This window comes from Homo sapiens, chromosome 2 (genome assembly GCF_000001405.40).
Source record: "Homo sapiens chromosome 2, GRCh38.p14 Primary Assembly".
NCBI lineage: Eukaryota > Metazoa > Chordata > Mammalia > Primates > Hominidae > Homo > Homo sapiens.
Window position 1 is genome coordinate 38,408,099 of NC_000002.12, and position 13,963 is coordinate 38,422,061.

The following is a 13,963-nucleotide window of genomic DNA, read 5'->3' on the forward strand; positions in this document are numbered from 1 at the left end:
ATTACATTTTTGTAGGTTATTCTTTTTTTTTTTTTTTTTGAGATGGAGTCTCGCTCTGTCGCCCAGGCTGGAGTGCAGTGGCACGATCTCGGCTCACTGAAACCTCTGCCTCCCGGGTTCAAGCAATTCTTCTGCCTCAGCCTCACGAGTAGCTGGGATTACAGGCATGTACCACCACACCCAGCTAATTTTTGTATTTTTAGTAGAGATGGGGTTTCACTATCTTGGCCACGCTGGTCTTGAACTCCTGACCTCATGATCCACCCACCTTGGCCTCCCAAAGTGCGGGGATTACAGGCATGAGCTACCGCGCCCAGCTTTTGTAGGTTATTCTTTAAAACTCAACAACTTTCAATCAGACACGAAGTCCTAACAGTGGACATATTAAAAAGAGAAATACATGGAGGCAGGACCTTCCTGATACCCTTTAGGTCATAACTTTGAACAGTCCAGTCTACTTCCTGTGGCTAAAAGGGGAAATCGGACCTGCCCAATACCCCTATGCCAACATCGGGGAGCAGAGTCCATTCCTAGTGTCCATCACTTGCCCTGGCAGGGGAACTCTTTTTTTTTTTTTTTTTTTGAGACAGAGTCTCACTCTGTTGCCCAGGCTGGAGTGCAGTGGTGCAATCTTGGCTCACCGCAACCTCTGCCTCCTGGGTTCAAGCAATTCTTCTGCCTCAGCCACCCGAATAGTAGCTGAGACTACAGGTGCATGCCATCATGCCTCGCTAATTTTCGTATTTTTAGTAGAGACGGAGTTTCACCATGTTGGCCGGGCTACTCTCAAACATCTGACCTCAAGTGATCCACCCACCTCGGCCTCCAAAAGTGATGGGATTACAGGTGTGAGCCACTGCACCCGGCCTGGAACTCTTCCGTGAGTGTCACTAACATTTCCCATGTTGTGGTCTGAGGTCACACCCTCTGGTGCTGTCCTCCATGGGGATGTGCAACACTTCTCATACCCTCTGTTTCCTCTCTTTTGTTATAGATGAAGGGGAAGAAAAAGATAAAACCAAACACAGCCCAGAAATTCTGGCATACAAATCAGAAAAGAACTACTTCTTAGCCACCTGTGCCAGGTAGGTGGGTGGATTATAGATTTAAATCCAGCAGAATGTGGTCCAAACTGGTTCTACAGACAATGAAGTGGTTCTTTGTTTGGGGGACCTGCCAGGCCAGGTTAAAGTTGGAGACAGGCTCTTCTAGGGTTGGTAGGCTCCCAGAAGTGTTGGGATTACACAACCCCTCACTGGATGTACAGGCAGAACTGGCAGGCTCGCTGGAACAGAACAAAGCCTTGGGAGAGAAGTTTTTTTTCCTGCAACTCTGCCAGCATCCCTAAGTATTCTGGCTCTAGATCTGGGGACTTTAAATGACAAAATGATAAGTCTAAAATTTATTTTGCAGTTCCAGAGAAAATTGTAAGACTCTTTATGGGCTAGAGAATTTTACAAGTCTTACTTGTGAATAATTGACTTTTCCAAAATTCTGTAACGTCAGCAAAGCATGCCACAGAGAATGAAAATGTGTGTTTCTATGGGGCCAGGTCCTGCACAGTTTCATTTCTCTTTCTTGAGCCATGATTGTCTTAAATTTGCATTGAAATAAAGGGCACCAGCATCAAACTGGGTGGCTGTTGCTGGGTTGTTTTGCATTTTTCCATCATCTTATTTGGAAAGCAATGAGACCTTTTTCAATCCTTTGGGCTTCCTCCAAGTGGAATGGTCTTTTAGATCTAGTGTCTTTTGGGGTAAGTAATGAGCCCAAGAGAAAACATAGAGTGAGTGTGAGCATGTGTTTAAATTTTCTAGTGCTGTTTTTAGAGCAATTCAAGAATGAAATCTCCCCAGGGTGCCCAACTGCTCTCAGAATGCAAACCCACACAAAGAGCCAGAGAGGGAGAAGGGATGCTTAAAACAGAGAGGGAGGCTCCTCTTCAGGGACATCCAAGGCTTGGGCCTGGTGGCTTCCTTTTTTTCCTTTTTCTTTTTTTTTTGAGACAGAGTCTCACTCTTTCGGCCAGGCTGGAGTGCAGTGGTGCAGTCTTGGCTCACTGCAACCCCATCTCACAGGTTCAAGAGATTCTCCTGCCTCAGCCTTCTGAGTAGCTGGGATTACAGGCATATGCCACTACTGCCCGGCTAATTTTTGTATTTTTAGTAGAGATAGGGTTTCACCATATTGGCCAAGCTGGTCTCAAACTCCTGACCTCAGGTGATCCAGCCGTCTCGGCCTCCCAAAGTGCTGGGATTACAGGCCCGGCCAGGCCTGGTGGCTTCTGATTGCACTTCTAGAAGCCACCATCCACCTTTACTGCGTGTAGCCAAAGGAAAGCACCATAGCGCATCTCCATGGTGTTTCCTCATGGATGTTGTTGAAAACGGGTTGTATTCATTATGCAAGATGTCTTTATGAGGGTTCTCAGGATAAATTTCGTTTTGGTCCTGATACCAAGGATAGACATACTTTTCTTGAGCAATTATGCTACCTTTCAGGATTTTAAAAGATATGCAAGCAGTCTTCAGAACCCAGCCACATATTGTGGATAGATCCCCACCCAGATCCTAGTTCAAGAGGCCTGATCCCAGCCCAAAAGCAAATCCCTGGATCTGAGTTTCTGTTGACATATCATTCATTCAACAATAAATCTTTTATTATTATTATTATTATTATTATTATTATTATTATTATACTTTAAATTCTATGGTACATGTGCACAAAGTGCAGGTTTGTTACATATGTATACAGGTGCCATGTTGGTGTGCTGCACCCATTAACTTGTCATTTACATTAGGTATACCTCCTAATGCTATCCCTCCCCCCTCCCCCCACCCCATGACAGGCCCCAGTGTGTGATGTTCTCCTCCCTGTGTCCAAGTGTTCTCATTGTTCAATTCCCACCTATGAGTGAGAACATGCGGTGTTTGGTTTTTTGTCCTTGCGATAGTTTGCTGAGAATGATGGTTTCCAGCTTCATCCATGTCCCTACAAAGGACATGAACTCATCCTTTTTATGGCTACATAGTATTCCATGGTGTATATGTGCCACATTTTCTTAATCCAGTCTATCATTGATGGACATTTGGGTTGGTTCCAAGTCTTTGCTATTGTGAATAGTGCCACAGTAAACATATGTGTGCATGTGTCTTTATAGCAGCATGATTTATAATCCTTTGGGTGTATACCCAGTAATAGGATGGCTGGGTCAAATGGTATTTCTAGTTCTAGATTATTTAGGAATCGCCACACTGTCTTCCACAATTTTTTTTTTTTTTAAGATAGGGTCTTACTCTGTTTCCCAGGCTAGAATGCGGTGGCATCATAGCTCACTGCAGTCTTAGACTCCTGACCTCAAGCAATCCTCCTGTCTTGGCCTCCCAAAGTGCTGGGATTACAGAATTGAGCCACTATGCCCAGCCCATTCAATTAATCCTTCATATGACAAATATATATAAAGTACCTATTATGTGGCAGGAGATATAGTTGTAAACACGACAGGCAAAATAAATCCTTATTTTCACGTTTGCAATCTAGAGGGGTTAACTCTGCTGGATGCACTTGAATTTGTAGATATGGTAATGAAATTGGTGAAACTGCCTTTGCAAAAATTATAACTGAGGAAATTATGACAGTGAAAGACATCAGACCTAACTGACTCCATCTTTTCTCTTTTTTTTTTTTTTTAGACAGAGTCTCACTCTGTTGCCCAGGCTGAAGTGCAATGGTTTGATCTCGGCTGACCACAACCCCCATCTCCTGGATTCAAGCAATTCTCCTGCCTCAGCCTCCCGAGTAGCTGGGATTAGAGGCATGTGCCACCACGCCCGGCTAATTTTATATTTTTAGTAGAGACGGGGTTTCTCCATGTTGGTCAGGCTGGTCTCGAACTCCCAACCTCAGGTGATCTGCCTGCCTCGGCCTCCCAAAGTGCTGAGATTACAGGTGTGAGCCACTGCACCCAGCCTCCATCTTGCTTCTAACCTTTAAGTTGCCCTTCTTCATTCCTGGGCAAAGGCCGAACTAACCTTGGGAAGAAATTTAGTTTATGCTTCAACTGCGAAACAAAATTGGTAATAGTCCTTTCCGAAAAGACCCCCTTCTTGTCTTGGGACCAGTCTGCCTTTGCAGGACTAACAAATTAGCTACAAGATTAGAAATTATGGTTAAGGGGTCATGCAGCCTCTGGCTGCAAGAGTCTGAGCCTCCCCAAATTGCTCCTGGGGATAACATCACTGTTGTAAAACCTAAGTTCAGTGCTTGAGATATTTTGCAGATCCTGCACTTGATGGATCAGCTGACACCACCCAGACCATAATCTGGCTCAACCAGTTCTGCAACTCCACCCAGGAACAGAAGACAGCAAGAAAAACTCACTTCGACCCCCTATGATTCCATTTCCAACCTGACCAATCAGTGCTCCCCACTTTCCAAGCCCCTACCCACCAAATTATCTTTAAAAACTCTGATCCCTGAATGCTTGGGAGACTGATTTGAGTAATAATAAAACTCTGGTTTCCCATACAGCCGGTTATGCATGAATTACTCTTTCTCTATTGCAATTCCCCTGTCTCGGTAAATTGGCTCTGTCTAGGCAGCGGGCAAGGTGAACCTGATGGGCAGTTACCTAGCAAACAGCTAAAGTGGAAACCTCAGAAAAAGACTAGAAGACCAAAAAGACTAAAACAACACAGGTGTGAGTCAGAGTGATTAAGACATTTAGAAAAAATGAAAGAATTATACTCCTATTTGCTGTGTGATCTTGAGCAAATGACAACCTCTTAGTCTCAGTCTCCTTATCTAAAAAATGACGATAGAGACTTATAGTGAGAAATAAGTGAGATAATATGAATTAGGCTTTTCACACAGTGCCTGCTCATATCACTTGCTCAATAAATACTGGCTGCTACTACTTTTATCCCAGGAGCACCAAGAGGAGAAGAGCCCTTGGTATGGGCATTTTGACCACATGAACTGTTCAGCCTGGTGTCAGAAATGGGAATGTGGAGAGAAGCAGGGTTTCCATTCTGTAGAGGCTATGCCCATGGATGTCACCCAAGTCCTAATATTTCCAAAAGAAACCATACCTAGGCCAGGTGTGGTGGCTCATGCTTGTAATCCCAGCACTTTGGGAGGCCGAGGCAGGTGGATCACCTGTGGTCAAGAGTTTGAGACCAGCCTGCCCAACATGGGGAAACCCTGTCTCTACTAAAAGTACAAAAATTAGCTGGGCATGGTGGCAGGTGCCCGTAATCCCAGCTACTCAGAAGGCTGAGGCAAGATAATCGGTTGAACCTGGGAGGTGGAGGTTGCAGTGAGCCAAGACTGCACCACTGCACCCCAGCCTGGGCGACAAGAGCAAGACTCCATCTTAAAAAAAAAAAAAAAAGAAAAGAAAGAAACCATACCTAATATACCTAAGCTACCTTTATTTTTTTCCTCTTCCATCTCAATAATTCTAATCATAATCCTCATTCGCACCCCCTATTTTGGCTAGAAGATAATTTCCATATTTCCATTTAACCTTTCCATTTTACTGATAAGACCAGTTTTTTTGTTTTTTTGTTTGTTTGTTTTGAGACGGAGTCTTGCACCATCGCCAGGGCTGGAGTGCAGTGGCGTGACCTCGGCTCACTGCAACCTCCACCTCCTGGGTTCAAGGAATTCTCCTGCCTCAGCCTCCCAAGTAGCTGGGATTACAGGCGCCAGCCACCACACCTAGCTAATTTTTTTGTATTTTTAGTAGAGACAGGGTTTCACTATATTGACCAGGCTGGTCTCAAACTCCTGACCTTGTAATCCTCCTGCCCCAAAGTGCTGGGATTACAGGCATGAGCCGCCGTGCCCTGCCAAGGGTGGTTTTCGTCTTGGCCAATGTCCTAGAGTTAGCACAAATAGAAACTCCAAGCCTTCTCACTCACATCCCATGTTTTTCTGTTATTTGTTTTGAAGGAAGGGGGAAATCGATTTGCTTTTTGCTTTTGTCAGTAGCAAGCAGTGTCACATACCATGGACAAAGATCTAAATGACACATGTTATAATCTTGGAGTTCCTTGCAACTGGCTTTGGGGTTGCTCACTAAAGTCCCTAGGCAGGTGCTTCATTAAATATGACATCTAAATGACTCACCTAGAATTCTGAGATATACACAAAAGAAGAAAGGAAAAAGAAAAGTTCCAAGGACGTGGGTCCCCTTTGGTTCACATTCCAGCCTCAATGAATGGCCCACTTATGTTTCAAGATCTTAAATCTTGGCCAGGCGCGGTGGCTCACGCCTGTAATCCCAGGCGGATCACGAGGTCAGGAGAGCGAGACCATCCTGGCTAACATGGTGAAACCCCGTCTCTACTAAAAACAGAAAAAATTAGCCGGGCCTGGTGGTGGGCACCTGTAGTCCCAGCTACTCGGGAGGCTGAAGCAGGAGAACGGCGTGAACCTGGGAGGCGGAGCTTGCAGTGAGCCGAGATCGCACCACTGCACTCCAGGCTGGGCGACAAAGCAAGAGTCCGTCTCAAAAAAAAAAAAAAAAAAAAAAAAGATCTTAATTCTTGATCTTGAATGTACAATACAGACAATGAAAGCCATAAATATGTTTAGTCAAGAAGATCCCCAAATCCCAGGATCTTGAAAACTTCACCTCCTGAGCTTCATCATACCATCAGCCCACACGCACACTCATTTCTCCGTCTACCCTCACCATTCCTGATCTTGAAGAACTTTCTCCAAGGCCAAGGACAGAGTTCTATAAACAAAGTGGTAAGTGAGAGCGAATATCCACATGCCCCAAACTGGGCCCCTCCCCACACTTGAGAGACCACTAAATGAAATGGCCTTACTGTGTAAAAACCAGGGAGGGATAGGAGATAATGGACAAATAGCAGACCAACTGTAACTTCTGCTCATCTAAGATGATCAGACCAGTAACATAAACAGAAGAGGAATGATTCTATGAGTCCCAACTCCAGGCCCTCAGGCCGTTATTCTCCATAGGCCTTAGAGCACAAATGAGCTGCACATAGCATGTCCTCTGTTATCAAACAGGCCAGCCAAGAGATGGCCTCTCTCAGCTGGCTGAGCTCAGGTACCTTGGAGCTAAAAACATTCACTATCTCGCTGCAGTCTAAAGCTTGGAGCAATTCCTTTTAGTCGATGTACTAGAAGGCAAAGGTCAGGCAGACAATTCTAGGTACCCTCTGTAAGCATTTGGCAGAGATCTCTGAGCATGGACCTGTGCCTAACTGTTCAAGCATAAAGGAAGAGGAGAAAACTAGTCCCAGGCAACAGGCCTCCACATTCTCCATCACTCTTCTGCTCTTCCAGTGGCTCTGAAGTTGGTGGGAGCATTGCGTTGTATCCTGCCCTTCCAGTCTACTATAAATCATATTAGATGGTTCTATGGCCTACTTTGTAGCCCAGTGAAACAGCAAAACCTACCAGGTGTGTATCACCTTATATATTTCCTTGCCTCTGTTCCCCTGTGGATGAAACCGGACTTACCTGAACTAAACAGATTATATTATAAAAACTTCTGGGAAGTCTCAAAAGAGTATTATCATGTTCATTTAAATGATCTTATAGTTGCTACAGACTTTGCTTTTTGAATGCAGAATATGCATTGATTTTTTTCATATCCAAAGCTCTAGGGGTCTCTTTATTAGCATACTTTAACTATTGTGTACTCTAATTAAATGTGAATATAGCCTTAATCTAACTGACTCCCTTGATATTACCCCAATCAGAGATCATGAAACATAGTTATAGCGCCCATGTATTGAGTGTCTACTATGCACAGGTCAGGAAATGTGTCAGGGACTTTACATATGTTATTTTGGTCCACCTTCACAAAGGATTTGTAGAATTAGCTTCAGTTTACAGCTGCTGAATCTAAAATGCAAAAAGGACAAATTACACAAGAGCACAGGTGCAAGTGGCAGAACTCAAATGTACACTCAGCTACGTTCTGGCTCCAAATCCAGTGACATGACATCCTTCTTTGTCTGAGTAGGAACAGTCATAAAAATATTGGAAGGAATTCATGGAGCCTTCTTTAAATAAAAGGCTCATGGTGTCCACAAGATGATCCCACGCTACTCCACCCCAGTGACACCTTGTCTGGGGTGTTGTGAACACTTGTAAAAGCCACATTTTTTTTTTTTTTTTTGACGGAGTCTTGCTCCATCACCCAGGCTGGAGTGTAGTGGCGTGATCTCGGCTCACTGCAACCTCTGCTTCCTGGGTTCAAGTAATTCTCGTGTCTCAGCATCCCTAGTAGCTGGGATTACAGGTGCCTGCCACCACGCCTGGCTAATTTTTTAAATTTTTAGTGGAGACAAGGGTTTCCCATGTTGGCCAGCCTGTACTTGAACTCCTGACCTCAAGTGATTCACCCGCCTCGGCTTCCCAAAGTGCTGGGATTACAGGCATGAGCCACCACGCCTGGCCAAAGCCACAATTTAATACGAATTAATACTGGCAAAGGAAGTTGACAAGACAAAGTGGGTCTGAAAATGCAAGGAACTGTTGAAGAGTAATTAGTTTGTTGGAAAAAAAAGATGGAGAATAGGAGAAACAATCTAACAACTCTCTCAATATTTGAAAAGCTGTAATGTAGTAGAAATGGATTTTGTTCATTCACTCATTCATTCATTTCTCACACATTTCTCAGACACCAAACATGGGCCAGACACTTGCTAGCCATGGGAGAGCAGCTAGAAAGAAGTCAAATGTGCCTGCACAGCATAGCAAGAAAACCAGATGTGAAAAAGCATTGCAAGTGTGATGATTTCTGCAAGGTATAAAAAGGAAGCAAGAAGAAGTCTTTGGTCTTACTCCCTAAAATTCAGTAACACAGAATGACTACTCCTTTTTTTTTTTTTTTTTTTTTAATTTTTGAGACAGAGTTTCACTCTTGTCGCCCAGGCTGGAGTGCAGTGGCACAGTTTTGGCTCACTGCAACCTCTGCTTCCCAGGTTCAAGCGATTCTCCTGCCTCAGACTCCTCAGTAGCTGGGACTACAGGTGCACACCACCACACCTGGCTAATTTTTGTATTTTTATTAGAGACGTGGTTTCATCATGTTTGCCAGGCTGGTCTCCAACTCCTTACCTCAGGTGATCTGCCCACCTCAGCCTCCCAAAGTGTTGGGATTACAGGTGTGAGCCACCACGCCTGGCCTAACACAGAATAACTCTTACTGGGTAGAAATATCAATAGGTAAAAATAAAAGGGAGGCAGATTTCAGGGCAGAGTAAGAAAAGCTGTCCTGAGTCCCCAACAATGAGGTAGGTGTCAGGAAGAAGTGAGTCCCTGGCAGTGGGAGGGTTCCATTGGTGGCTGACTGACCCCCTCCCTGACACATTCCACAAGGGATTCCCTCATAGGAGAGGAGGTTAGCATAAGCACTGTCTACCAGCACAGATGCTGAAGTCCTAGAGTCTTGGACCTCATCTTCGACAGAGTGAACAAAAGTTCTCTGAAAGAAGGGCGTTTTTCAGTAATGCTGTTCAGCTCTTCCAGTGTGCTACTGTCCAACAATTCAATATTGCTGTCCAGTCTGCAGGGAAGAAGGCAAGGGGCAACTTAATCCCAACTAAGTAACATCCACTTACCTTTAGCAGGTAAGTGAAACCTCCCCAACCCATTGTTAATAAAAACTTGGGTGAGGGAGAACTTACTGGGTAGAAACTGTAGCATCCAGAACTTAAGAGTTAGCTGTGCCAGCTGCCAACAATTTTTGGACAGAGAAATGTTTGTAGGAATCCATTCTATCATTGCTCTGCACCATAAATTCCGGAGAGCACCCTTTCTTATCTGCTCAGCCTTGCCTCTTAAGAATGGTTGACTGCTCATCAACGATTCATTCTGAGAGAATAAGGAAGAATGCTCTTGTTTTCTATGACAAAGCCTCCATTTTCTATTTTCATGCTGAGGCAAGTAGCTGCAAGCCTGAGAGATTTATTATTTTATGACTTATGCCAATTTTGGAAGCTTGCAACTTTGAATCAAACTAGGAATGTGAAAAAAAGGGAAAAAAATTGTACAAACCTAGCAAGCCAGTGTGGAAAACTCCGGAGATAAAAAATATATCTCCTTTGACCAAATTATTCAAGTTGGAAACATCCCACCTCACAGATCAATTGCCCATTTAATCATAATGCCTTATAGCCACGTGGCACTTCAGGGACAGCTTACAAAGCATGTTCTTGTTTATTATCTTCTAGCCCTCCCAGCAGTCCTCTGCAGTGGGTATGGCTCGTGCTATAACAGAGGAGGTGTTGGACTATGAACCAAAAGAATCAGGCTCTATCTCCAGCCACCTCTTTAATTGATGTCTTTGGGCAATTTCACTTAAGCTCTCAACCTCATTTTTTTCTTCTGGCCAAAGGAACTGAAACACCCAGAGGCAGATGAAGCTCACAAAGCTTCAGCTTCAGAGCCTGCCACTTGCACAGGTTGTGAACCTAATTTTGAATTCACGGTTTTGTGTTCTTGTCCTTAAAAAGGGCTCCCCGAATTACAATTTCAGGCCACACAAAACCTAGATCCACCTCTTAATAAAAGTATACCTCCTCAGCCTAATTCTAGGAAGCCAAATTACGACAGGTGTCTCTATGATCTCAGCTCTGCCCAATGGCCTGTGTTGGTCCTATGGCTCCTCATGTCACAGGTGAACTCTGTTGGTGCCTCTCCTTGATGGCTGCAAAGGGCTCACAGCTGGCCTCTTCTCCAGAGAATGCCCTCAGCTGCACAAGAGGCCCTCATCCTGGAGTGTACACCACCACTCCCATCCAGGATAGCCAACCAACTCCTGATTGACGGGGAGTGATCCCCTATACACAAGGCTGCACCCCTGTCTGAAGGTCAGAGCAACTCTGTGGTGCAAGTCATGTCCTTAGGGGCCAGACTGAAGCTAGACTCCATCTGGGATCACATTCTTGCTTGGTTCCTTCCCATGTCTCATCCTGTTTCACACACCCCTTTCTGCTACACCGCTGCCCCATTAACATGTGCACCTGAACCCTCACCTGGGGATCAGCTTCTAGGGCACCCAACCTGAGACGTAGAATGATAAGAAGAGTGCCATTTATTTCCTATGTTGAAGACTGTCTGGTTCACTTTCAAACATAGTCAAAGAGCCATAAGCCTCCAAAACCCCTTGCAGCTCAGTCTATGGTGGAGATGGGTGTATATATATGTTCCTCAGCCAGCAACTTGGTCTGAGACCCATCCTGTGCCCCAAAGTCCACGGTTAAGAGTTCTAAGTACATTAGGAACAAGTACATTTGGGAGGGTGAAGGTGGAAGAGCTGACTGTTTTGTGATACCCTACACTGTGACCAACCACCCTAGTGTCTTCTCAGAATCTTTAGCTTTGGGTGTTAGGAAGGACACCAAAAGACGAGAAAAGAATGAACAGTAGCATCGTGTCACTTTCATTCTCTTGGCACCTTCTACCTGCAGGAGATTTATAGCTAGTTCTTTGTGCTGGCTAAATAGAGGAATCAAAGAGCTCTCCAATGTTGTCTGTCAGTTTAGAGAGAGGCAGAGTTTAGGAGTAAAGGGATTTACAGCCTGCTTCTGTCTCACCTCGTACTCAGTTTGTGGCTTTAAAATGAATTAATCATTCATTGCCCTTTAGCACTCCCATGTATGGCATGCAGGTTTACTTCCACATCTCACAAAGACCAAAGATCCCGAAAAGGATCATCATAACAGCAAGACTGCCATCCATAAGAGAGACATAATTTTTAAAAATTAAAAAAGATAGGCTGGGCATCGTGGCTCATGCCTGTAATCCCATCACTTTGGGAGGCCGAGGCAGGCAGATCATGAGGTCAGGAATTCAACACCAGCCTGAGCAACATGGTGAAACCCCATCTCTACTAAAAATACAAAAATTAGCTGGGCATGTGGCGCTTGCCAGTAATCCCAGCTACTCAGAAGGCCAAAGCAGGAGAATTGCTTGAACCCAGGAGGTGGATGTTGCAGTGAGCCGAGATCATGCCACTGCACTCCAGCCTGGTTGACACAGCAAGCTTCGTCTCAAAAAAAAAAAAGATAAAGACAGAGTCTTGCTATGTTGGCCAGGCTGTTTTCAAACTCCTGGCCTCAACCAATCCTCCTGGCTCAGCCTCCCAAAGCACTGGGATTACAGGTGTGAGCCACTGCCCCTGGCCAAGACATAATTTTTAATCATCAAAAAGGACACACAAGAAATTCCTCATGAAGGGGAATAAAATGTGAGGCAGGAAGGAAATATTCATTACCCAGACGGGTGCTTGCTCCCCTAGACTCTTACCCCGAGGGATCTGGAGATAACTAGTGCTCTATCTCCTTCCATTAAAGAGATAGGTATGGGCTTTGCAGACAAACTGTGAGGATCTAGGTCAAATCCAGGGTCATCATTCAAGGGAGAGATCATTCAAGGGTGGGCTGATGAGCTGCAGATTTCAGAATCAGGCTACAAGAAGTTGGGAAAGAGGCCGGGCGCGGTGGCTCATGCCTGTAATCCCAGCACTTTGGGAGGCCGAGGCGGGCGGATCACGAGGTCAGGAAATCGAGACCATCCTGGCTAACAAGGTGAAACCCCGTCTCTACTAAAAATGCAAAAAATTAGCCGGGCATGCTGGCGGGCGCCTGTAGTCCCAGCTACTCGGGAGGCTGACGCAAGAGAATGGCGTGAACCCAGGAGGCGGAGCTTGCAGTGAGCAGAGATCGCGCGGCTGCACTCCAGCCTGGGCGACAGAGCAAGACTCCGTCTCAAAAACAAACAAACAAACAAGAAGTTGGGAAAGACTGACTCAGAGACAGGGGCCCATGGCACTCACCCAGATGGGGCTCCCAATGCCCGATCCAAACCTTAGCAGAGCCACGGATATCTCTTTATGCAGAACCATTGGTTTTCTGAGCCAGCAGCTTCCTGTAGACTCTTGGAACTGATCTAAGGATATGGGAGCCTTGAACTTGAGCAGGGAGCAAAATAACTGTATGTGGCTTTGGTTAAATTGCTTGCTGTCCATTCCCTCATGTCTCCTTTACTCATCTTTCAAGGCTGATATCAGATTCAGATTGAAGCACTATGCATGAAACTGCTCTGATGTAAACTGTAAAGTAACAAATGTAAATGTAAGACAGTGGTAACTGTGGAATAAATACCAAAGAGGGCGAAGAGGAAAGCTCTTCAGAATTGGAAGTTCAGTCTCACAATGCACGTAGAGCCTTCCCTACTGTATTAGTCGGTTCTCACACTGCTATGAAGAAATACCGGAGACTAGGTAATTTATAAAGGAAAATATTTCAATTGACTCACAGTTCTGCATGGCTGGCGAGGCCTCAGAAAAACTTACAATCATGCAGAAGGCACCTCTTCACAGGGCGGCAGGAGAATGAGTGCCCAGTGAAGCGGGGAAGCCCCTTATAAAACCATCAGCTCTTGTGAGAACTAACTCACTATCACAAGAACACAATGGGGAAAACTGCCCCCATGATTCATTTATCTCCACCTGGTTTCGCTCACACACGTGGTGATTATGGAACTACAATTCAAGATGAGATTGGTTGGGAACACAACCAAACCATATCACCTACCGTTGAGGGGGAGGTGAAAAGAGTCCCATGCCCAGTGTTCCTGGCAAGAATGAATCTGTGTCTATAGGAGTGTGCACCTGTAGTCTCCCTATCACAAGCAACTGCACGTGGCCCATCTGTATTACTGTTCTCTGCAGTGACCTCTGGTTCCAATTACCTTTCCAGCTCCCTGTCCTTCCATGAACCCTGGTAGCACTGGCTGGGGCCCTGTTTGTTCTAGTCTCTTCCCCAGGACAGATGGATACTTGAATAAACATGTTGGATACAAATAGCGCACCCAAACTCTCCTTAGAAATCTCATTTTGTGCCCTGCATGTTCAGCCCAGATAGAATCTCCACAGACCAGACCAGCTGGATCAGACTCAGCTCTACCC

General features: G+C 45.2%; 1 long non-coding RNA gene across 1 annotated transcript; it reads left to right on the forward strand.

The window, feature by feature from the left end:
* The first annotated feature begins 620 nt into the window (after positions 1-620).
* LOC105374468 (uncharacterized) lies at positions 621-4,529 on the forward strand. The gene is made up of 3 exons (XR_939974.3): positions 621-880; positions 995-1,085; positions 3,693-4,529. It is a non-coding gene; the product is annotated as an uncharacterized LOC105374468 (long non-coding RNA).
* The last annotated feature ends 9,434 nt before the right edge of the window (positions 4,530-13,963 follow it).